Source organism: Homo sapiens, chromosome 13, assembly GCF_000001405.40.
Source record: "Homo sapiens chromosome 13, GRCh38.p14 Primary Assembly".
NCBI lineage: Eukaryota > Metazoa > Chordata > Mammalia > Primates > Hominidae > Homo > Homo sapiens.
Genome location: NC_000013.11, coordinates 27,133,782 through 27,159,575, shown reverse-complemented (window position 1 = coordinate 27,159,575; position 25,794 = coordinate 27,133,782). Strand labels below are relative to the sequence as shown.

At 39.1% G+C, this 25,794-nt stretch overlaps 1 protein-coding gene and 1 long non-coding RNA gene across 3 annotated transcripts in view, besides 1 other annotated feature; one reads left to right on the top strand and one right to left on the bottom strand.

The window, feature by feature from the left end:
• USP12 (ubiquitin specific peptidase 12) overlaps positions 1-25,794 on the top strand; it is a 105,656-nt gene that overhangs the window by 12,236 nt on the left and 67,626 nt on the right. The gene's annotated exons all lie outside the window — the stretch shown is intronic.
• Positions 1-25,794, bottom strand: part of USP12-AS1 (USP12 antisense RNA 1) — a 43,603-nt gene that overhangs the window by 9,560 nt on the left and 8,249 nt on the right. The window lies entirely within an intron of this gene.
• Positions 11,645-11,834: an enhancer, noted in NCBI's record as "active region_7498". NCBI's record gives its function as "activates an Ori minimal core promoter by ATAC-STARR-seq in GM12878 lymphoblastoid cells {active_cell/tissue: GM12878}" and the evidence as "EXISTENCE:reporter gene assay evidence [ECO:0000049][PMID:35858748]".

The window sequence follows — 25,794 nt, the reverse complement described above, 5'->3', positions numbered from 1 at the left end:
GTACATTTTTGGTTGACATCCAAGTTAACAAGGCCCTCTGCAAATGTTACTGGATATTGATAGAGAAGGCTGGATTGAATAGGTGTGGCCTAGTTGAGAAATGAAATTTAATGATAGAACACTTGTAAAACACCAGAATTATATGCCTGATGCAAATGGAATGGTGTTTGAAAAATCTTATTTTCTTCCTGACATTTTTAGGAACAGCCTGTGTTTAATATGGACTTTGAAATATAATGTCATGGTAACTTTTAGAAATGGGGTGGTAGATACGCCCTTGTAATTTAGTAATTGATACATTGTTTTTTGAACTACCAGAGTGAGGATTTTAAAAGAATTAAATTATTCAGGTTTAACTGTATATACTCTTAAAGAAAAATGTGATATCTGATTACCTTAGAAATGGTAGTTTCTTTTAATTTTGCAATTTTAGAAGTTTAAGAAAAACCAAACCACTTACTATTTTTAAAACTGCAAAATTGTGTGAGTTTAAAAAATTCATTTCTTACAAGGAAGAGGGGCCGCCCTTTCCCAAGAAGTAATTGCTAGAAAGAGTTGGGATATGTGTGTGTTTATTGCCAGACATTACCTGTGCATATACAAACATGAGGTATTGTGTGTGTGTCACCCCCACTCCCCCCAAAATTTAAAACTGCAGGTTTATTTGCTTTTTCACCTAACAGTGTATATTTTTGGTTGTCATCATGTTTCATTCCATGTCAAAACTCTTGTGTGCATTTTAATTTCCCATGATCTTCAATGTCTATCATATTGAAAGGTTTGGTTATATAATACTGTTTGCACATTTTCATTTTATTAAACAATAATTTTATTAGTTTCCTAGGGCTGCCATAACAAAGTGCCAGAAACTGTGTGTGGATTATAATACTGTATTGTTACTGTACCTTTTCTACGTTTAGATGTGTTTAGAGACATGAATACTTACCATTGTGTTACAGTTACCTACAGGATCCAGTACAGTCATATGCTGTACAGGTTTGTGGCCTAGGAGCAAGAGGCTAGACCACATAGCCTAAGTGTGTAGTGGGCTGTACCATCTAGGTTTGCGTGAGTACACTCTATGACATACGCACCATGATGAAATTGCTTAACAGTCAATTTCTCAGAATGTATCCCTGTCATTAAGTGGTGCATGCCTGTAACAGAAATTTATCGTCCTAACAATTCTGTAGGCTAGAAGTCCAGAATCAGGATGTCGACAGGGTTGGTTCCCTCTGAGGGCTATGAGGAGACTCTCTTCCATTTTCTACCCTAGCTACTGGTGGTTTTCTGGCAGTGGATGCATCATTCCAATCTTTTCACATGGCATTCTCCCTGTGTCTCTGTCTCCATTTTGTCTTCCTTCTATGCCTGTGTCCGAATTTTCCCTTTCTACACAGACACCAGTCACACTGGATTAGGGTCCACCCTAATGACTTCATTGTAACTTGATTACTTCTGTAAAGACCCTATTTCAAAATAAGGTCATATTCTGAGATATTGGGGCTTAAGACTTAAACGTACCTTTATTAGGGAACACAGTTCACCCAGTAAAACTAATGGCGCAATCAGGTCCATTGCAATTAATGTCAAGGAATATTCATTAAGTTGGGTTATGTGCTAGACCCTAGAGATTCAAAGCTGTTTAAGTTCCAAAGGGCTTGCAGTCTAGTTGGGGAGACCAGCTTTGTGTATAATAATGTAAACTGATACAAACTTGATAAGCTGTATTTTGATGTGTACAGGGAAGACAGACTGGTATTTGGAGTGAGGCCTGCATCAGTTGGAGAAGGAAGGCTTTTGGGAGTGGTGGGGAGGGAAGCTTGGTGGAATTTGAAAGGTAACTTGGAGAAAAATGAAGAGGACAAAGGTCCTGGCGAGGAAGTGAGAAGTGAATTAAAATAACAAGAGAGAAATAAGGTTAAGTGATTAAAATTACTTACATGATTTAATGTTTCAGTAATTTTGTCCTCAAACTTGTTAAATTGATTGGGTTCATATTGGTTTAGGGAAAAATCTTCTATAAACTTATATTTTTTTTAAAAAAAGGCATGTATATGTTGTTAAAAATCACATTTGTAGCTTACAGAACTCATTTTTGCTAAAAATGAGCTAATGAAAAGTACTTCTGATACAGCGGGTAAAGGAAAGTGGGAGAGATCATACCTAGAACATCCACTTTTTCCCAAAGTAATGACGGGGAATTATGTACACCTCTATATAATGACGGGATTATATACACCTCTTTGTGATCTTAGGTCCATTTCAACTACAGCATTCTGTTTTTTAGCTTAATGTATGTAAAACTTATCAAGCAAAAAGGGATCAGAAGTGGTTTTCTAGAAAATTTATTGAAAATAAAAAACCAACAAAACATGATTACCACATTAGTGAAAATAACTATTACGCAGAATATATTTTTGTAACATACCTGCTGTGAAGAAACTTCACCAATGTCAGTATTTACATTTCAGATTACTTTGTTATTATTAGTTCATTTTTTCCAAACAAAAACTGTGAAATCTATGAGATGGACCCATAGAGAGGAGTAGTCTGTTTTACAGGTAAGGAAATTAACAAATAGATTATTTCAGACTCCAGTGATTTGATTTTAGGATTCTGCCTGAGACCTCTCCGTATTTAGTCTAGTGCTTTTGCCGCCGGATCATGCTGTTACTAATGTAGGTGTAGATGCTTCTTCCCCCTAAAGACAACCATAAAATCATTTTTTCTCTCTCTCTCTTTTGTTTTTTTGAGACGGAATCTTGCTCTGTCGCCCAGGCTGGAGTGCAGTGGTGTGATTTCGGCTCACTGCAACCTCCACCTCCCAGGTTCAAGCAATTCTTCCTGCCTTAGCCTCCTGAGTACCTGGGATTACAGGTGCCTGCCACCATGCCCAGCTAATTTTTGTATTTTGTTTAGTAGAGATGGGGTTTCACCATGTTGGCCAGGCTGGTCTCAAACTTCTGACCTCAGGTGATCCGCCTGTCTTGGCTTCCCAAAGTGCTGGGATTACAGGCGTGAGCCACTGCCCCCCCAGCCTCTTTCTTTCTTAATACTCATAAATATCCAATCATTGTTGAAATTACCTGATTGTCTCAAATGATTATAGTTGGATCCATAATGATCATCGTTGCGTTTCGTCACTATATCTCTTAAATGTGGATCCCTGTTTCTTTTTTATTATAGTTTATCTTTTGAGGAAATCAGATTGTCACATAGCTTTTTTCATTTTCTGTACTTTGCTGATTGCATCCCCTTTGTGATGTTTAACATGTTCTTCCATCCTTTGTGTTTTCTGTAATCTGGTAGATTAAGAGGCCTGAACCAGATTCCTTGATTTTTTTTTTTTTTTTCCTTGCAGGAGTTGAGGTACAAGTGGTGGTGGAAAAACTTAGGTGATGTGTACTTCTGGTTTGCAGTGGAATGTCGTGTCTCTTTATAATGATGAGGCTGGCATTGTCAGAATGACTCTTCTGTTACGGAGCTGCTGGCAGCTTTTTACCTCATGGTTTTTAGCAACTGTTGATAATCATTGCCTAGATCCAGTGTTTCATTAGGGCTTCAGAATACAGTTTTAACTGCTTCTATAGGTTTTTTTTAAGAAATATTTTTAAAAACATTGAAAGAGAATGTACATCTATGTTATATTTGAAGCTACATAGAAATAAACTTTTTACATTTTCAGAATATTTTCATAGTTGTATTCCGAAAGTCATACATTTAGGCAGGCTAAAGTTTACAAATTAAGTTGAACCTTTTCCGCATCTAGACTTAATTTTGTGATATTACAAGTGAATGAGCACATGAAGTTCTAACAGATTTTTGCATCTGAACTATAATTAATAAGATTTAACTGATTATACACTAAAACTTGACAAAGTAGTTTTTCTTTTATTTTCCATTTTTTAATATGTTCCGCCTCAGGGTTATATATTTACTACTCCTGTGCTTTTACAAAAGCAACTTCAAATTCTTAGGCACAGGATTCTGAAAATTAGATGAACTAACCAGGTACAGTTACTTTAATTTTCAGATTTTAGGGATATTAGAGTGCATTTATTTGTATTTCTATTTGTAATATTTAAAATGGACCAATTTGTGTGTGCATTAGTTTCCAATGGGGCTGTAACATATTACCACAAGTTTAGTGGCTTAAAATCACACAAGTTTATTATTCTAAAGTTATGGAGGTCGCTGGGTGCAGTGGCTCACACCTGTGATCCCAGCACCTTGGGAGGCCAAGGCGGGCAGATCACGAGGTCAGGAGATCAAGACCATCTTGGCCAACATGGTGAAACCCTGTCTCTACTAAAAATACAAAAAATTAGCCGGGCATGGTGGCACGCGCCTGTAGTCCCAGCTACTTGGGAGGCTGAGGCAGGAGAATTGCTTGAACCTTGGAGGCGGAGGTTGCAATGAGCCGAGATCGCGCCACTGCACTCCAGTCTGGGTGACAGAGCGAGGTTCCGTCTCAAAAAAAAAAAAAAAAAAAAAAAAAAAAAAAAAGTTGTGGACATCAGAAAAAAAAAAAAGTTGTGGAGGTCAGAGGTTTATGTGGGTCTGGCTGGGCTGTGTTCTTTCCTGGAGCTGCAGGAGGGACTGTTTCTTTGCCTTTGCCACCTGGATGCTGCCCTTGCCTTTTGGCTCCTGGCCCCTGCAGCATCTTCAAAGCCAGCCATGACTGGCCAGTCTTTCTTTCATTACCTCCCTCGGACGGCGACTGTCCTGCTTCCCTCTTTCACTTACCAGACCCTTGTGATTACATAGGGCTCACCTGGGTAATCTGGGATACTCTCTCAAGGTCGTTTGATTTTAGCAACCTTAATTCCTTCTGCAACTTGAATTCACAGGTTCTGGGGATTAGGATGTGGACATTTTGAGGGAGGCAGTTATTTTTCTACTACCACAATGCGTCCACGTTTTTTTTTAACTTTAAAAAATGTATTAGAGGTGAAAATCAATTCCTGATATGCCTTTAATGAATTTTGGGTTATGGTGAAATATTGGAAAGAAGTTGAGTGGATTTGTAAACATACACCTTTTGTACTAAGTGAACATTAAGACGTGGTTATCTGTTCTAGTTTTGGAAGTAACGGAAGGAGAATTTTTACTTCAGGTACTGTTAGCACACTACCAGTCTCAGCAGGAGAAAAGTAAAGATGCAGTGGAACATTCAGGAAAATTAGCTACCAATACTTTTACAACTTTTGATAAGTAAGTAAATATAGGCTTGGTAGCATGAGAGGTTACAAAAATGGATGAAATGAATAAAACCTATGCTATATGCCCTTGCTCAACAGAGTATATGTAAAATATATTTTAGGATGTTAAGATTACATCAGAACCTTTTATATTTACAGCATAGTAATTTAAATGATGGTTCGGCTTCATTAAAAGATAATCTTGGAGGTTTAGAGAGAAGGCCTCAGGCTGTGTGCTTCCTAAGGAAGAAAGGGCAGAAAAGGGCAACTCTCACATTTTCTTAGGCAAAGTGGAAAGATGTGGATATTTCTGTGGGATGTGAAATAGATTTTTAATGGTTAAAGATAGTATCAGAAGAAGCTCTAATTTGAGGATTGCCAGATCTCTAAATATTTTTGTTTTGCAGTTATTAAACGACTGCCATAATTAGATTTGATACCTCAGTAAACTTACGAGAAATAGGATGAAACATAGAGCCTGGACTTCTAGAGACTTCGTTTTTCTCATTTTGCTTGTAAGTCTGAAGAAAACCAACAGAGCAAGAGAGGCTAAGAAAAGAGATGATAAGGAAGACAGGAAAGAATACCCAGTAAATATTGGTGTATGGGCTATGCTAGGTGAACTGTTAGGTATGAGTGGTTCTTACTTTTAAGGAAGATACGTCTTTTTGGGGAAATGAGACTTAAATTCACATCCAGCAGAACAGTATCAGAAAAGTGGGTGTGTGAGCTCCATGAGGGTGACTTGTGGAAGGGGAAAGGTTGAACATTTCATTCTCAAGTACTAAAAGGATCTGTAACTCTAATGTACCGATTAATGGATGATAGCACAGCTTTTTATTGTTATGGAAGTGACGTTTCCACTCTTGTCATTCCCATTTTTGGAGTTTATTGTTACTAGATTTCATAGAACCTATTTGAAACTAGAAAATATTTCTATTTCATTACTTTATATGTTTTTGTATGCATATGTATATATGTTTTATCTAAAAAACAAAATTGAAGACTTTAAAAGTGAATTTGAGTTTTGGACACTAAGCTTTATTTATTTACTTATTTTTTTTTGAGACGGAGTCTCACTCTGTTGCCCAGGCTGGAGTGCAGTGGCACGATCTTGGCTCACTGCAACCTCTGCCTCAGCCTCCCAAGTAGCTGGTATTACAGGTGCCTGCCACCACACCTGGCTAATTTTTGTATTTTTTAGTAGAGACAGGGTTTCGCCATGTTGGCCAGGCTAGTCTTGAACTCCTGACCTTAGGTGATCAGCCTGCCTCAGCCTCTCAGAGTACTGGGATTACAGGTGTGAGCCACCATGCCCGGCCAGGACACTAAGCTTTAAATGTTGAATGTAAACAATTAATCAAAAAAGACTCCAAGTTGACATACATATTCTATTTTCTTTTCTTTCTTTCTTTTTTTTTTTTTTTTTTGAGACGGAGTCTCGCTCTGTCACCCAGGCTGGAGTGCAGTGGTGCGATATCCACTCACTGCAAGCTCCGCCTCCCAGGTTCACGCCATTGTCCTGCCTCAGCCTCCTGAGTAGCTGGGACTACAGGCGCCCGCCACCACGCCTGGCTAATTTTTTGTATTTTTAGTAGAGACGGGGTTTCACCGTGTTAACCAGGATGGTCTCTATCTCCTGACCTCGTGATCCACCCGCCTCGGCCTCCCAAAGTGCTGGGATTACAAGCGGGAGCCACCACGCCCGGCACATATTCTTTTTTCTTAAAACAGCTTTATTGAGATATAATTCACATACCATGCAATTCACTCATTTAAAGTGTACAATTTAGTGGCTTTTAGAGTTTTGCATTTATCACCACAGTCAGTTTTAATCATCTTGAACGATACTTTATACCCTTTAGCTATTCTTTTTCTCCTCCTTCTTTCCTTTCCCTCCCCCTTCCAGCCCTAGGCAACCACTGATTTACTTTATGTGTTTATATAATTATCTGCTTTGGACTTTGGTATGTGGAATCATAGAGTATATGGTCTTTGGGACTGGCTGCTTTTACTTTGCGTGTTTTCAAGGTTCATTTATGTTGTAACATGTATCAGTACTGCATTGCTTTTAATGGACAAATATTGTTCCATTGTGTGGATATACTACATTTTGTTTATTTGTTCGTTGATGGACATTTGGGCCATTTCTACCTTATGGGTATTATGAATAATACTATTGTAAACATTGGGGGTGCAAGCTTTTTATGGACATATGTTTTGTTTTCTCATGTGTCTGTACTTTGGAGTGGAATTGTGGTTTAATCTTTTGAGGATCTACCAGACTGTTTTCCAGAGATGGACCATTTTATGTTCCTGCCAACAGTGTATGGCTGTTCCCATTTCTCTGCATCCCCATTGGTACTTGTTATCTGACTTTCTGACTGTAGCCATTCCATTTTGGGTGTGAGGTGGTATCTCATTTCATTGTGGTTTTGATTTGCATTTCTCTGATGAGTAATGATGTTGAGCACCTCTTTAGGTACTTATTGGCCATTTGTGTATCTTCTGTGGAAAAATATCTATTCGCATTCTTTGGCTGTTCTTTGAGTTGTCTTTTAATTGTTGTGAGTTTTTTGTTGTTTTGTTTTTGTTTTTTCAAGACAGGATCTTGCTGTGTTACTCAGGCTGGAGTGTAGTGACATGATCATCCCTTGCAACTCCTGGTCTCAAGTCATCCTCCCACCTCAGCCTCTGGAGTAGCTAGGAGTACAGGTGCATGCCTCTATGCCTGGCTAATTTTTTACTTTTTGTAGAGATGGGTTCTTGCTGTGTTTTGCCCAGGCTGGTCTTGAACTCCTGGCCCTCGGGATCCTCTTGCCTAGTCCTCCGAAAGCACTGGGATTACAGGCATTAGCCACCCTGCCTGGCCCTGGTGTAAGAGTTCTTTGTATATTCTGGATACAAGTTTCTTGTTAGTTACCTTATTTGCTAATATTTCCTCCCATTCTATGGGTTGTCTATTCATTTTCTTGATGGTGCCATTTGAAGCACAAAATTTAATTTTGATTTTGATGAAGTCTAATTTATCTAATTTTTTTTCTCTTTTCCTTTTTTTTGGGAGACAGAATCTTGCTTTGTCGCTGAATCTTGGCTCACGGCAACCTCCACCTCCCGTGTTCAAATGATTCTTGTGCCTCAGACTCCCGAGTAGCTGGGATTACAATTGCGCGCTACCATGCCCAGCTAATTTTTTTGTATTTTTAGTAGAGATGGGGTTTTGCCATGTTGACCAGGCTGGTCTTGAACTCTTGGCCTCAAGTGATCTGCCCACCTCGGCCTCCCAAAGTGCTGGGATTACAGATGTGAGCCACAGCGTCTGGCCTGATTTTTTTCTTTTGTCGTTCATGCTTTTGGTGTCATATTTTATAATCCTTTGCCAAATCCTGTGTCAATCCTTTGCCAAATCCAGTGTTTAAGAGTTTTCTGGGTGTTGCTCTTTTATGTACTTCTTTGATCTGTTTGGAGTTAGTTTTTTGTACATGGTTTGAGGTAAAGGTAACTTCATTCTTTTGCACGTGACTATCCATTTGTCCCAGCGCCAGTTGTTAAAAAGACTATTCTTTCTCTGTCTTTTGGAGTTGGCACTCTTGTTGAAAACCAGTTGATCAGAGATGTATGAGTTTCTGGATCCTCAATTTTAATTCATTGATTTGTATGTTTGCCTGTCTGCCAGTACCACTGTCATGACTGCAGTTATAGCTCATTGCAGTCTCGTTCTCCTGGACTCAAGTGATCATTACACAGGTGAGCCACTGGGTCCGACCTCCATATGAATTTAGAATCAGCTTGTCAGTTTCCATAAAATTAGCTGGGATTCTGATGGAGATCTCATGGAGCCTGTAGATCAGTTTGTGGAGTATTGCCATTTTAAGTGTTAAAGTCTTCCAGTCTGTGAACATGGTATGTTTTTCTCTGTGTTTAGATTTCCTTTAATTTCTTTTAGTAATATTTTGTAGTTTTCAGAGTTTTGAAACTCTGAAATGTTTTTTTCTTTTATATGTCATTCTCTTTTTTTGTTAAATTGATTCCTACTTATTTAAATCATTTTGAATGCTACTGTGAATGGAGTTGTCTTATTTTCATTTTCAGATTGTTCAGGACAAGCATATATAAATACAATTTTTTGCTTTATTATTTTTAATTGACATAATTGTATGTATTTGTGGGGTACAGTGTGATATTTTGATACAGGTATACAATGTGTAATGATCAAATTGGGGAATTAGCATATCCATCACTTCAAACATTTATCATTTCTTTGTGTTGGGAATATTCAAAATCTGCTCCTCTATCTATTTGAAAGTATACAATAAATTGTTGTTAATTATAGTCACCCTGCAGTGCTGTAGAACAGGGATCTCCAACCCCTGATCTGTGGCCTGTTAGGAACCGGGCTGTACAGCAGAAGGTGAGTGTCCAGCGAGCAGCATTACTGCCTGAGCTTCACCTCTTGTCAGATCAGTAGAAGGCATTAGATTCTCAGGAGTGTGAACCCTGTTATGAACCGCGCATGCGAGGGATCTAGGTTCACATTCCTTATGAGAATCTAATGCCTGGTGATCTGAGAACAGTTTCATCCTGAAACCATCCCCCACTAGTCCATGGAAAAATTGTCTTCCACAAAACTGGTTCCTGATGCCGAAAAGGTTGGGGACTGTTGCTGTAGAACACTAGAACTTATTCCTCCTATCGAGCTGTAATTTTGTATTCATTAACCACCCCTTGGCTACTCCTCCCACCCCCCACATCTGCAGCCTCTACTCTAGTAACCACTATTCTACTCCATAGTTTTATGAGATCAATACAATTGATGGCTATGTATTAATTTTAGAACCCGCAACCTTGCTGAACTCGTTTATTCTAGTAGTAATTTTTTAGTGGATTCTTTAGGGTTTTCTTTATATAAAATCATGTTACATACAAATAAAGATAGGTTTACTTCTTCCTTTCAAATTTGGATGCCTGTTTTTCTAACTGCTGGCTAGAACCTATGGTACAGTATTGAGTAGAAGTTAACAAGAGGGAATTTTCTTGTCTTTTTCCTAATCTTAGAGGAAAAGCATCCAGTGTTTTCGCTATTAAGTAAGATATTAGCTGTGAGTTTTTTATAGATGCGTTTTGTCAGATTGAGGAGCTCTTTTCCTCTTTTATTTTATTAATTCCGTAAATCAATCTTTTCTTTTGTTAAGACAGGGTATTGCTCTGTTGCCCAGGCTGAAGTGCAGTGCTGTGATCTTGTCTTACCACACCCCTGCCTTCTGGGTGAAAGTGATTCTTCCATTTCAGTCCCCTGAGTAGGTGGGACTACAGGCGTGTGCCACCACGCCTGGCTAATGTTTTGTATTTTTGGTGGAGATGGGTTCTCACCATGTTGCCCAGGCTGGTCTTGAACTCCTGAGCTCAAATGATCCGCCCCTCAGTGTCCCAAAGCATTGGGATTACAGACATGAGCCATTGTATCTGGCCCATAAATACAATTTTTATTGTATTCAGAGAGGAATTCTTTTCTATGTTTTTATCATGACAAGGTGTTGGATTTTTGTCACCTGATTTTTGTGTGTGTGTGTGTGTGTATTAAGATGATTCTGTGATTCTGGTTTTTTAATTCAATTGATATGCTATTTTATGTTAGCCCATTTCAACCTACCTCTTTTGTGCTGTTATTATTATTTATATTATATATATATATATAATTTTTTTTTTTTGAGTCTCTGTCACCCTGGCTGGAGTGCAGTGGTGTGATCTGGGCTCACTGCAACCTCCGCCTCCCGGGTTCAAGCAATTCTCCTGCCTCAGCCTCCTGAGTAGCTGGGATTACAGGCGCCTGCCACCACACCTGGCTAGTTTTTGTATCTTTAGTAGAGACGGGGTTTCGCTATGTTGGTCAGGCTGGTCTCGAACTCCTGACCTCGTGATCTGCCCGCCTCGGCCTCCCAAAGTGCTGGCATTACAGGCGTGAGTCACCATGCCTGGCCTATAATATATATATATAGTTTTATACAGTTGCTTTTTAAATCAATTAAGAGAAGAAAGAAAAAATACACATTTATAGTGTCCTTTATAATTAACAATTGCTGTTACAGGTACTCTTGTATGTTTTTTCATGTGGACTTTACTTGCTGTTTGAGAACACTTGCTTCTAGCCTGAACAACTTTCTTTAGTATTTCTTGTAAGGTATGTCTGTTAGCATAGGAACAACTTCTGTTAGGTTTTCGTTTTAGAAAAGTCTTTTTTTTTTTTGAGATAGGTCTCGCTCTGTTGCCCAGTCTGGAGTGCAGTAGTGCGGTCACAGCTCACTGCAGCCTCAACCTCTTGGGCCCAAGTGGTTCTCCCACCTCAGTCTCCTGAGCAGCTTGGGACTACAGGTGCACACCACCACGCCTGGCTAATTTTTAAATTTTTTGTAGAGATGGTGTCCCCCTGTGTTGCCTAAGTTGGTCTTGAACTACTGGGCTCCAGTGATCCTCCGTCCTCAGCCTCCCAAAGTGCTGGGATTACAGTTGTGAACCACCATGCCCTTATGGGAAAGTCTTTATTTCACATTTAGATGGAAGCATTGGCAGATTCAGCATTGTTGGTTGACGGTTTTTTAAAATTTTTTTTTTCCTTTCTTTGAGCGCTTTGAATATATTACCCCACTGACTCATAGCTACCAGGTTTCTGCTTAGAAGTCAGCCTTTCGTCTCAACTGGAGTTTCCCTTATAAGTGATGCATCCTCTTTTCTTGCTGTGTCTTTTTGTCTTTGACTTTCAGCATTTTTATTATCAAGTGTCTTATTTGTTGATGTTTTTGTGTTTATGACATACACTTTGTTTTTCTTTTTTACATGACATATATTCTTAAATTCTAGTTTATGCTAAATGCCTATATGTTTCAGTTAAGTATTTTTTTAAAAATTGGACACCTCAGTTATAATGTATCAACTTTGTTAGCTAGAATTTTTAGATTATCCAGAATTGTTATGTCTCAGCTGATAATATATTACTATACTTAAATATTACAAGCATTCTCATAGAAGACATTCGTAACTAAATTGGAAACAAACTAAAATAAAATGGCGATATGCATTCCTTTCCTGAGTTGTGTTTTGCTTAGATTAGGTATCATTCTACATGTAAAATTGTGCAGTGCTAGCTCTTTAAAAAGGCAGTGGCTCTGAGGGTGTAGGCTGCGTGGAGTTTATACCATGGTGTATTCGTTTCCTAGGGTCTTTCCTAACAGATACCGTAAATTGAATGGCTTAAACAGCAGACATTGGTCATCTTACAATTCTGGATTCCAGAAGTCCAAAATCAGCATCTCACCAGGACCATGCCCTCTCTGAAGGTGCTGGAGAAGGATCTGCCCCAGGCTTCTCTACTTGCTTCCGGCAGCCTCAGGCATTCCTTGGCTTGTAGATGGCCCTCTTTTCCCTGTGTCTCTTCACATCTTCCCTGTGTCTGTGTCCAAATTTCCCTTTTTTATAATAGCAGGATGCCAGTCATACTGGATTAGGAATTACCTTCATGACCTCATTTTAACTTGATTAGCTTTGTAAAGACTATCTCTAAATAAGGTTACATTATGAAGTACTGAAGATTAGGAGTTCAATTTATCTTTATTTAGAGGAGGGGGTGCATAGTTCAATGCATAACGGATGAATTAAAGGAATATTGCCATCTTAAGTGCCTTCTGAAACAAGGTAGGAAATTAGGGAATCATACTTTTTCAAGGGGAGTAGCAATTGGTTCATTTTAGGTATCTTTTTAACTGACTCTGAACCTACTTATAAGCCAACATCGGAGCTCTGCAGTGGTGGAACTTACAAGTTAATTTTGCATTAATCTTATAATGGCTGACATTTCCTAGAAGTGGGTGTAGTTAACTAATTGCTTGATTCTATCCTCTCCATAACTGCTCACTCCTCTCCCTACCTTATACCCCTAGCCTTTAGCCGTGTGCGTTATTACATAGGTGCTTTTTTTTGAGACAGAGTCTGGCTTTATTGCCCAGACTGTAGTGCAGTGGCATGATCTTGGCTCACTGCAACCTCTGCCTCACGGGTTCAAGTAATTCTCCTGCCTCAGTCTCCCGAGTAGCTGGGACTATAGATGCCCACCACCACACCTGGCTAATTTTTGTATTTTTAGTAGACACAGGGTTTCACCATGTTGGCTGGGCTGGTCTCGAACTCCTGACCTTAAGTGATCCACCTACCTTATCCTCCCAAAGTGCTGGGATTACAGGAGTGAGCCATGGCCTAGTTACATAGGTACTTTTAAAGAAATTTTACTGTTTGATTGATTATAAAAGAAGTATAGTCAGTGTGTAATGTGATGTGTAAAAAGGTGTAAAGAAGAAACTGAAAGTCACCTATAACCCATTAATAATTACCTGTAACTGGTATTGTTGTGAGTGTGCCCTCAGTTTGTTTATGGCAAACATGATTTTTAAAACAAAATCTGGATCATTAAATATTTTCTTAACATTATTCTGTAGACAATTTCATTAATTATAAGGGCTAGTACTCTCAAGATTTTTTTTGCTTTTCTTCCATTTTGTAACCTCTTGGGGACCAAGACACATTTCTTTTCATTGTTTCTCATTTTCTCTATTGATAACAAAATTTTGTGGTATAGAGTTACAGACTTTTGTTGATAAAGAAGGGACTTTAGGACAACTAGATAAACAACTTTATGAAACAACTAGATAAACAACTTTATAAAAGTGACAAATGAGTATTGCAGGGGAACTAAGTCTGAGATCATGATATTTCACAGTGATGAGCAGATTCTAAATGAACTCCTTCAGCATAGTAATTTAGATTGAAGTTAATGTGGGAGCTAGTTTGAGTTTAGGTTATTATTAAATATCTTTATAACTGAAAAGCTACTAACCTGGAATAACAGGCATTGGAAGAAAATGGTTATGCAGGAAGCCTAACTGATTGATTTCTAAAGATGATTTTTTAAAGTCAGTTGTTGGGAGCTTGTTATTCGTGTTCCATGGAAACAATGTTTAATTTCTTGGCCAAATGGGTAAGGTGTGTTTTAGCACTATTGTTACTATAGTTCAACATTATGGAGAAAAGTTGATTCTTAGGAGCTACCATTGCCATATGGAGAAAAACGTGGTCCAGAATTTCATGTTTTTGGCCACCTGTCATTCTTCAAGAAGGAAACTCACTGGGAAATACCTTACACTTCTATAGTTGAGGAGACCTGCGATTTGGAAGGAAAGGAGGAGGTTCAGTGAAGAGTGGGATGGCTACATTTGATACAGAGCCCAAGACTTGTGTTCAAGTCCCCTCTGCTGCAGGGTCTCACTCTGCTGCAGGGTCCAGCCCAGGCTGGAATGCAGTGGTGCGATCGTGGCTCACTGCAGCCTCGACATCCTGGGCTTAGGTGATTCTCCCACCTCTGCCTTCTGAGTAGCTGGGATTACAGGCATATGCCGCCATGCCTGGCTGATTTTTTTTTTTTCTTTTTTTGGTAGAGACAGGATTTGGCCCTATTACCCGGGCTGGTCTCGAACTCCTGGGCTTAAAGGATCTGCCTGTTTCGACCTCCCAAAGTGCTGGGATTACAGGCAGGAACCACTGTGTCCAGCTCCTCCCGATTTCTGGGGGAAAAAAAAAAAACAACAAAAAACAAAACTTCCAAAAAAAGTTTTCTGTGGTCTTTCTGTTTTGTTTTTTTGAACCACAGTCATTCCATCTAGGTTTATGCTTTTGATTGTTACATCTCTTTAGTCTCTTTTATTACTTTTTAAATTTTAATTTATCTACTTTGCTAAATGTATTTACATTTCTCATACTTAATCTTTAGTCTCTTTTAATATATAGCAGTCTCAAGTTGACCTACCACCTTTTTTTTTTTTTTTTTTTTTAAAGAGAGTCTTGCCCTGTTGCCTAGGTTAGAGTGCAGTGGTATGATAATATTAATAGCTCACTGCAGTCTTGACCTCCTGGGCTCAAGCGAACATCCTGCCTCAGCCTCTTGAGTAGCTAATATTACAGGTATGCACCACCATGCCTGGCTAATACTTTATTTTTCTGTAGAGGTAGGGGTCTCACTGTGTTGCCCAGGTGGTCTCAAACTGGGCTGAAGTGATGCTTCCACCTTGGTCTCCCAAAGCACTGGGGTTACAGGTGTGAGCCACACACTTGGCTGACACTTTTTTTTTTTGGGAGTCAGAGTCTTACTCTGTCACCCAGGCTGGAGTGCAGTGGTGCAGTCTCGGCTCCAACTTCAGCTCCCAGGCTGAAGTGATCCTCCCACCTCAGCCTCCCGAGAGGCTGGGACTATAGGCATGTGCCACCACACCTGGCTAAGTTTCATAGTCTTAGTAGAGACAGGGTTTCCCCATGTTGCCCAGGCTGGTCTCGAACTCCTGACCTCAAGTGATCCTTCCAACTTGGCCTCCCAAAGTGCTGGGATTATAGGCATGAGCTACTGCACCTGGACTGCCTCTGACTTTTTGAACAGATAAGACTGATTGTCTCACAGAATGACACTATCTGGATTTGTCTGAACATTTCCTTATGGTGTCTTTTAATTTGCTCTTCTATCCGTTATATTTTCTATAAAGTGGGAATTAGGTCTAAAGGCTTGATTAGACTGCGAGTAAACATTTTTGGGGAAGAATAATTTGTAAGTGATACTGTGTTCTTCATATTGCAGGTTATCATGTGGAACATGATGGCAGTTGTATCACTCTGTGATGCTGAATTTGATGATTTGATTCAAGTGGAGACCACCAATGTCTTCATCATAAGGGAAATATTTCACTTTGCAGATTACCATGTAATCTGAGGGATTTGGCAGTTGACCAATAGCTTTTTCTCCAGCACACCCATTGATGATTAGGGCACTTACAGTTATTTTATTGGGCCCTGCAAAATGGTATTTTTCTAATTCTGTTGTTTTTTTCATGTTTATTAGTAGGCATTCCTCTGTAAAGAAGAACTTTTTCTCATTAACTAGTGTTGAACTGTTGTTTCTTCAGAAAAGACAAAGTAGATAATGAAGTCTTTAGTTGCCAGTTTTCAGAATAAGGAATCAATGTGATACTCCCTACCCATGCTGCAAATGAGTTTTTCCCCTTTATTGTTCTCCTACTTCTTTTTTGTGTCATGATAGATTTTTATTTATTCAGTGTTTAGTTGTTTGATAATAATCAATTACAATCATTCTTTTTGATGATGTTAAAATTATTCTCGATTTTGCCACTGGAAACCCTCCAAGCTGACTACTACTTTATTGTTCTTTCACTCTTTTTTTTTTTTTCTTTTTTTGAGACGGAGTCTCACTCTGTTGCCAGGCTAGAGTGCAGTGGCGTGATCTTGGCTCACTGCAACCTCCGCCTCCCCAGTTCAAGCGATTCTCCTGCCTCAGCCTCCCAAGTAGCTGGGACTACAGGCGTGTGGCACCACGCCCAGTTAATTTTTGTGTTTTTAGTAGAGATGGGGTTTCACCATGTCGGCCAGGATGGTCTCGATCTCCTGACCTCGTGATCAGCCTGCCTCGGCCTCCCAAAGTGCTTGGATTACAGGCAAGAGCCACTGCACCTGGCCTCTTCCACTTCTTTTTTGTGTCACGATAGATTTTTATTTATTCAGTGTTACAGTTTTTTGATAATAAATTACAGTCATTCTTTTTGGTGATGTTCAAATTAGTCTCGATTTTGCCAGTGGAAGCCCCTCCAAACTGACTACTGTAATTTTTTTGATAAATCTTGAATTTACAGAAAAATTGCAAGAATAATGCAAGAAGTTCCCAAATACCTTTTACCCAAATCCAGTGATTGCTTATGTTTTGCTAAAGTTGCTTGACAAATGTATATTTGTGTGTACATTCGTAAAAACTTAAGTGCACATTTCCCAGTAACAGGGACATTCTCTTTCATAAAGATGGTATAATTTAAAACATCAATGCTGTCATCTAATGCACAGCATATTTTTAAAATTTAATCAGTTATCTCAGTAATGCCCAGTATCAAAGATGATCATGCATTATATTTGTCATACATTTTTAGTGTCTTTTCATCATTATTCTTCCGCCTTTTTTCGTCTTTATCGACTTGGACATTTTTGAGAAGTACAAGTCAATTGTTTGGTATACCGTTCCTCAGTTTGGGTTTGGCTGCTGTTTCTTCATGATTAGATTCAGGTTATACATTTTTTAGCAGACCATTTCTACTGGCCTGCCAGGCTTTTCACTGTCTTCACTGTCATTGCGTGTGTGTGTGTCTGTGTGTGTGTTTTTGAGACAGAGTCTCGCTCTGTCACCCAGGCTGGAGTGTAGTGGCACGATCTCAGCTCAGTGCACCCTCTGCCTCCTGAGTTCAAGCAATTCTCCTGCTTCAGCCTTGCAAGTGGCTGGGACTGCAGGCACACGCCATCATGTACCACGCCCAACTAATTTTTGTATTTTTTTTTGGCCTCCCAAAGTGCATGATTACAGGCATGAGCTACCACGCCCAGCCTCTTTCAGTGTGTTTTGACTTCAACTCATCAGTTGAGATCAGGTGTGGAATTTTCCAGTTGTGGTGTTATGTTAGCACTCAAAAAGTCAGATTTTGGAACATTTTGGAGTTCAGATTTTCAAATTAGGGATGCTCAACCTCTACTAGTAGTAGGACTGTCATTCCTTCTCTGTGTTTTAGTTGGCATTCTACTGCAAGAAAAATACTTCCTTTCTGTCTATTCATTTATTTTTTAGAGTAGCATGGACTTTTGTTTTGTTCATGTGACTCATTATTATTATTGATTTTGATACCCAAATTGTTCCTGATGGGACCAATAGCTTCAAGCTGGCTCCTGTGTTTGTTTGTCATGTTTTTATCATTCTTTGAGCACTTTCTAACTTCTTGGTATAAAATAGAATCATCTTGTATCTTCCTTTCTCCAGCCTTACATTCTAAAGTGTCTTGATTTCTTTTAGTGGAGAATGGTATTTAGAAACCAAGATGCCGATTCTATGTGTGCTCATTACTACAGAGGTGTCATGGTTTTTAATCATACGTTCCTTTTAGTGGACATAGCAAGGAAATGTTTTAAAAAGTGACTTCACAGCCGGACATGGTGGCTCACGCCTGTAATCCCAACACTTTGGGAGGCTGAGGTGGGCAGATCACCTGAGGTCAGGAGTTTGAGACCAACCTGGCCAATATGGTGAAACCTGTCTCCACTAAAAATACAAAAATTAGCCAGGCATGATGGTGCGCACCTGTAGTCCCAGCTACTCGGGAGGCTGGGGCAGAAGAATTGCTTGAACCTGGGAGGAGGTTGTTGCAATGAGCTGAGGTTGTGCCACTGCGCTCCAGCCTGGTGACAGAGCAAGACTCCATCTCAAAAAAAAAAAAAAAAAAAAAAGTGACTTCACACTGAAAATTTCAAATCACATTAACCTCAGTGTTTTTTTTTTCTTCGAATCTTCTATCTTTTTAATTGGAATAGCTACAAAAGGCGTTAGAGAGATTCTTGTGTGACGTTTCTGAAGTTCAGTAATACTCTAATTTTAGTGTGTCATTTTGGTTGGAGAATCATTGTCAGCTGACTTGGACATAATTGTCAACTCTAATCTCTTGTTAGAGCAAATGAATATTTTGCAATTTGAAAAACTGGAATTTTAAGTTAAAATCTTTGAATTTATTATATCTAAAATTGCTTTATATATGAAGAAAGAATAGCATTAATCAAATTTCTGCTCTGTTTAGGATTTGAAGTGCTGACTTACAGAGAAGACTTCAGTTTTGTTACTTATAAAATTAGGATAGTATCTTCTAAGGTTATTTTGAGGGTACATGATGTATATAAAGTTCCTAGTAGAGTCCTTGGCCTAACCTAGGCACTTAATAAATGGTACCTAGACTATTACACTATTGTTATTGTGCCCTATAGTGTCTGTAGGCATAGAAGCATGAAAAAATACTTCTTTGCTTAATATTCCTTATTGATGTAGATTTAAGATTTCATATTCTAAAAGTTTTGACTGTGTGTTTTCATAACTGTGCTGAATTGAAAATGAAAATTTCACATAAATGTAAACTTCAATGAGTTTTCAGACAAACTACACGTGTACTATGCAACTAGCTCCAATATTAAGAAATAGAACGTCATCAGTACTTCTGAAACCACTGTTTCGCTCCCTCCAGTCACTACACAACATCTTTGCTTTCAGGGGACATTGCATGAGTTTTATGTCTTTTTGTTTATTCTGCCCTACTCAAAACACGTAGGGAAAAAAAACTATTTTGGGGATTAGAATTGCATTAGATGAGAAACTTGAAATGAGCTTTGTCAATAGCTTTTTATGTTGCATAGTGTAATTTTTAATGTAAGTACAATAGAAATGTATTTTGCAGGTAGGGAGTGCAGTTTTAATTTTTATTTTACTCTGTTAGAGGGTAATTAGTAGAACCTTTTTGAGAAACAAGTATGTTAGAACATCTTTTTTACTATCACTTGTTTATTGTCTGTGAACAACAAAGGCAGAAACTCTGTTTCCCTTTCTGTAAGGATAAGTCATAACTTTGTATCACCTGTCCTTAGCATAGTTCCTGGCACACATAAGCCATATAAGAAAATGTTTTTAAAATAAATATGTGAATCAGTCTAGGTGAGTACATGTTAGCACTTGTATGTGACTTCACCTGCATTTATTTGTACATGAAAGAATTTAGGGTGGGACTTGCATGTATGAAATTGCTATAGGAGAGCTCTATTTTCATTATCAGTTTATACAAGAGTGACTATATTTTTATTTCTGGGGGATGGAGTCTTGCTCTTTCTCCCAGGCTGGAGTGCAGTGGCGCGATCTCGGCTCACTGCAGCCTCCGCCTCCCAGGTTCAAGCGATTCTCCTGCCTTAGCCTCCTGAGTAGCCGGGACCACAGGTGCACAGCCCCATGCCCAGCTGATTTTTGTATTTTTAGTAGAGATGGGGTTTCACCATGTTGCCCAGGCTGGTCTCAAACTCCTGACCTCAGGTGATCCTCCCGCCTCCGCCTTCCAAAGTGCTGGCATTACAGGCGTAAGCCACCACACCCAGCCAAGAGTGACTATTTTAAAAAACAATTTGATGCTAGTATGTAGCGTAAGCTGTAGGAAAATTACAGTTGTAGGAATATAGGGTATATCAGCATTATAGAAATTAATTACTCAGATGAAGGGTAAGGTATGAATCGATACATAGAAAGCTCTGTTAAGTGTGTCTGCATGTTAGGTATGGTATCTTGATCTGTATGTTGAACTGGTTTCCCAAAGAAATCATAAATCTGGGAAAAGTCCAGCAAAATGTTACTGATATTAGAAATGGATGCAAGTGTAACAAAGTAAAAAGAATAAGAATCTTCCTTGGGAAGATACTGGTTAATATATAGGATGCGATTGTAAGGCTGAATGATCATACACCTTACCGTTGAAACTGTGACACCTTGGGAATGGAAAGGCATGCTATTAATTATGCCATGACAACTGGTGCAAACTTTCTGGCAAAGTGGGACATATGGTCACTCTGTTACAGGGTGAATATGGGTTTCTCTGTTGTATCCTGGAATTCTAGAATTAACATTTCTTTAAACTCAAAGGGAGTAATAGTAGAATAACTGAAAAGGCAAACACTACCTGAAACATAGCAAATGTGGCACTTTCAAACTGAAAATACGAAAAAAATTGTAGGTAAACAGCCTGTCACATGGCAAGAGTGACACCATCTTGAAGTGAAACCAGTCATAATGACCAGTGTTTGACTCCTGCATACCAAGGCTTTCCCGCAGCAAAGTCAAAAACAATGCCTGTAGCATTGATAATGCCTCATGGAGGTGCTTATCTAACCTCTCCAGTGGTCACAGGTTTCCTAAGAAAGTCTGAGGCATGTCAAGCTGCTCATGTGTTTGCCCTAAAAGCTTGCTCTATAAAAGGTGTTTTCTGGAGGGCGATACAGGGGATACACCATCTCTCAGCTGCCCAAGACATTGCTTCTGTTCATAAATTTACCATCTGAGCCTTTCCTGGAATTTTCAGGCCTTTAATAGACTTGTTCATACATCTTTGTTAAATTTTTCTTTCTGAGAAACTGGATTTGTTAGCCTCTTTCTTCGGCCTCTCAGCTCCCTGAGCCTTTCGGAGTATGTTTGCCATATAGGAGCAAAAGTTTATAGTTAAATGGATGGTAGCAGTATTCTTCTGTGCTGTGTAACAAATTATCACAAATTGAGCAGCTGAAGTGAACTCATGTTATATAACAGTTTCTGTTGTAGGTAAGCCGTGCCCTCTGCAAGGCTGTACTCAGTGTGCTGGCCAGGGCTCAGGTCACATCTGCAGTTGCAGTTGGTAATGGATCTGCTTTCAAGCTCACTTAGGGTGCTGGCTGAATGTTTTCTTGCAGCTGTTAAGACTAAGTGAAGGCTCTAGGCTTTTTCTGGTTCCTAGTTGGCAGCTGCCCTCAGTGCTGAGAGGCCGCCTACGGTTCCTCGCCATGTGGCCCTCTCCATAAGTCCTCTCAGCGCGGCAGCTTGCTCCTTCCAAGCCAATGAGGGAGTCAGGGAGCAAGTCTGCTAGCAGTATGGAGTCTTACATTATGTCACATAGTCACAGAAGTGACATCCCATCTCTTCCGTCATTTTCTACTGGTTAGAAGCAATTCACAGGTCCTGCCCATATTCCAGGGGAGGCAATTATACAAAGGCATGGATACTAGCAGGCTGAGATCGGGGGAACACTTTAATTTCTGCCCACCACAGCACTGCATTCACAATAGCTTATCAGTGAGAAGTCTCTGACTGAGGTTTAATCAGTGTGGTATCTTACTTATGATTATTTTTGTGAAATCTAGTATAGTTTGTTAGAACATGTCTACTTTCATTTAAGTATACATCTATCTATTTACAGCACTTTAAAATTCATTTTTGATGGTGAGCACAGTGAGTACTGTGGCTTGGGATAGCATATCCATTTCTATAATATTGACAATTGATTTTTTTTGTTTACTAATATCCCCACTTAATAGATCATTGATAACTGAGTCTTTTTATAAAGCGGATTGAAGATGGCTGATTTATTATGACATCTATCATGTATAATCATGACCTATCTCTAAACATAATTAAAGTGTTCAGGTTCTTCTTTAATGACACCTAGAATTATTGTTTACTTGAGGTTGTTTTAGGCTCATGAGGCTTCCTTGGACAACCCTTTGTTCAAAATGAAGGAATTGAGGGAATATATTTTGTAATATGGAAGACTACTGGCACACATCACCTAATGTGAAGGGGTGTCTCTTTCTGAACAAATGCAGTTTGTTCACTATCTTTGTTCAATATCTTTGTCACTTATTTGGCAGTTAATCATGTATTTTGCTTTAACCATATCTAGTGTTTTTTTATTATGGGAAAACTTAAATGTATATTGAAGTAGACAAAATAGTATTATGTACCCCCAAGCACCTATCATGCTTTAGTTAACGCAAAAAACACCTCTTGACCAATGTTGTGTCTTTTTTACTCCCTCTAACTTAAACCTTCCCAGATTCTTTAGGGGCAAATCCCAAATATCATTTTATTACTTAAATATTGTATTTTTACCTTTTTAATATGTTTGATCTAGGTTTTCCTTTTTTTATACTGAATGCTCCCTGAGCATATGGACCATATAATGCATATATCAAGTTTTAGCCTAGTGGTGCCTTGTGGGTAGTCAGTACATATTTGGAAAGCTAAACATAGGTATACACTTAGAAGTCAGAAAAGTCTGTCTTCTCTAATTTAACGTGAGTTGACTCTACAAACTAACCTAGGATAATTACCTATCTATTCTCTCCATTGAAGAAGAATTTCACTTTTTTGAATTACCTAAAGGGTATGTATGTATGTATGTATTTGTTTATTTGAGGCGGGCTTTCATTCTTGTTGCCCAGACTGGAGTGCAGTGGCATGATCTTGGTTCCCTGCAACCTCCGCCTCCCCGGTTCAAGCGATTCTCCTGCTTCAGCCTCCTGAGTAGCTGGGATTACAGGCATGCGCCACCATGCCCGGCTGATTTTTGTATTTTTAGTAGAGATGGGGTTTCGCCATGTTGGCCAGGCTGGTCTCGAATTCCTGACCTCAGGTGATCCACCTGCCTCCCAAAGTGCTGGGTAATTACAGGCGTGAGCACCGCGCCCCGCCAAGGGTCTTTATTAAGGTCTGTTTTCTTCTTGTTGTAGACTTGGACTTAGGAGCCTTGAAGTTTTGGTGCTTCTCTAACGGTCACAGTTTGTTTTGAAAGGAAGGCAGTGGGTTAAACAGAACATGGAAAGCGGTTTACTTTATTGTAATCACCTAACTCTCCCACTCTCAGCAGTGTGACAGAAAATTGGGGTCTGTTTAAAATAATATTTTGATCTCAGGGCAGGAATCATTTGAGAATCCTACAGCAGAACCCATGGTGCTGCCTGAATTTTATGTAAAATGAGCCCTGTTAAAACAAAGTTCATGTGTTTTGGGATGGGATATTTTAAACTTCAACTTGGAAAGTAAAGAAAAGCATGTTTTCCTTCTTTGCTGCCTTCTCCCCTCCCTAGCTAGCTTCTGGCAGTAAGTGTTTACATGTGGTTATATACCCATATGTATAATAGCAGCAGATTTGTAATTTATATATTCTTTAGACTAATATTTATTTAATTTATTTTTTTGAGACAGAGTCTCACTCTGTCACCCAGGCTGGAGTGCAGTGGCGCAATCTCGGCATACTGCAACCTTTGCCACCCTGGTTCAAACAATTTTCATGTCTCAGCCTCCCTAGTAGCTGGGATTACAGGCGTGTGCTGCCATGCCCGGCTAAGTTTTTTGGATTTTTTGCAGAGATGGAGTTTCACCATGTTGGCCAGGCTGGTCTCGAACTCCTGGCCTCAAGTAATCCATCTGCCTCGGCCTCCGAAAGTGCTGGGATTATAGGCGTGAGCCAGCATGCCCGGCCTCCATAGACCCAATACTTAAACGTTTGAGTATATAAATGTTTAGGGATTGAGATATAATTAAAAGTTTACTTAAAAAATTTATAAATGTTGTTACGATAGAGATTTGAGATCAAACAAAATAAATTCTAAATGTTTTCATTTTATGATTATTTATTTATCTGAGACAGGCTTGCTTTATTGCCCAGGTTTTGTGGTCTCGGCTCACTGCAACCTCTGCCTTCAGCTATTGATTTTTCCACCTCAGCTTCCTGAGTAGCTGGGACTACAGACGCACTCCACCATGCCAGCTAATTTTTGTATTTTTCTTAGTAGAAATGGGCTTTCACCATGTTACCCAGGCTGGTCTCAAACTTCTGGGCTCAAGGGATTTGCCCACCTCGTCCTCCCAAAGTGCTGGGATTGCAGTCATGAGCCACAGCACCTGGCCTTGTTTTAGGATATATTTTTATTTGAACTGTTCATAGATATCTTCAGCATCTGTGAAACATTTAGTTAGAACATGTCTACTTTCATTTAAGTGTACGTCTGTTTACGGCACTTTAAAATTCATTTTTGATGGTGTCAGTGAGTATGGCTTGGGATAGCATTTCCATTTCTATAATATTGACAATTTTTTTTGTTAGCTAATATCCCCACTTAATAGATCATTAATTACTGACCTAGTCTTTTTATAAAACTGATTGAAGATGGCTTATCTATTATGACGTCTATCTTGTACAATCATGACATCAAATCTCTAGGCATAATTAATAAACTGTTCAAGTTCTTCTTTAATGGCACTCATAATTGTTTATTTGAGGTTTTTTTAGGCTCATGAGAGTTCCTTGGACAACCCTTTGTTGTTCAAAATGAAGTAATTGAGAGAGTATATTTTGTAATATGGAAGACTTTAGGGGACCTGATTAGAAAGTAACTCTTCTCTTTTCTGACAGATTTGGGAGACAGCTTACCTTTTATGTGGGCATGGCAAAGTATGTTTTCTTACCTTGAAACTCATTGAAATTTTATTTTTCCACCCTCTCAGTTGCTGACTTATTCTCCTCTTTTTTTCTGTGTCTCTTTTCAGAATATAATAGAGAATGAGCTTATATGGCAAGCCAAATGTGATAGAGAAATTTTAGAAATTGAACTGCTTTTGATCAAAACGCTTTCTTTTATGCTACCTTTCTCCAAATTCTGTCCTATAAGTTGTTAGTAACCCTATAGAGAGAGCTTCTTTAGTCTTTTTCATTTATAGGGCAGTCACACATTTCAGTCATAATGTGTGACTAATTAAACATTTATTTTTCACAGGGTCTGGCTCTGTGACCCAGGCTGGAGTGCAGTGGCCTGATCATAGCTCACTGCAGCCTTGAACTCCTGGGCTGAAGCCATCCTCCTGCCTCAGGCTCTCAAGTAGCTAGGACTACAGGCATGTACCACCTAATGGGCATGCCCAGCTGATGTTTTTATTTTATTTATTTAGAGATGGGATTTCACTGTGTTGCCCAGGCTGGTCTCAAGTTCCTGGGCTCACGTGATCCTATTGCCTTGACCTCCCAAAGGGTTGGGATTACAGGCACAAGCCACCACTCCCAGCCCCAAATATTGCTTTATAAATTAGAATAAAATTAGGACATTTTTCTGAATATAATTTTTTTTTACATTT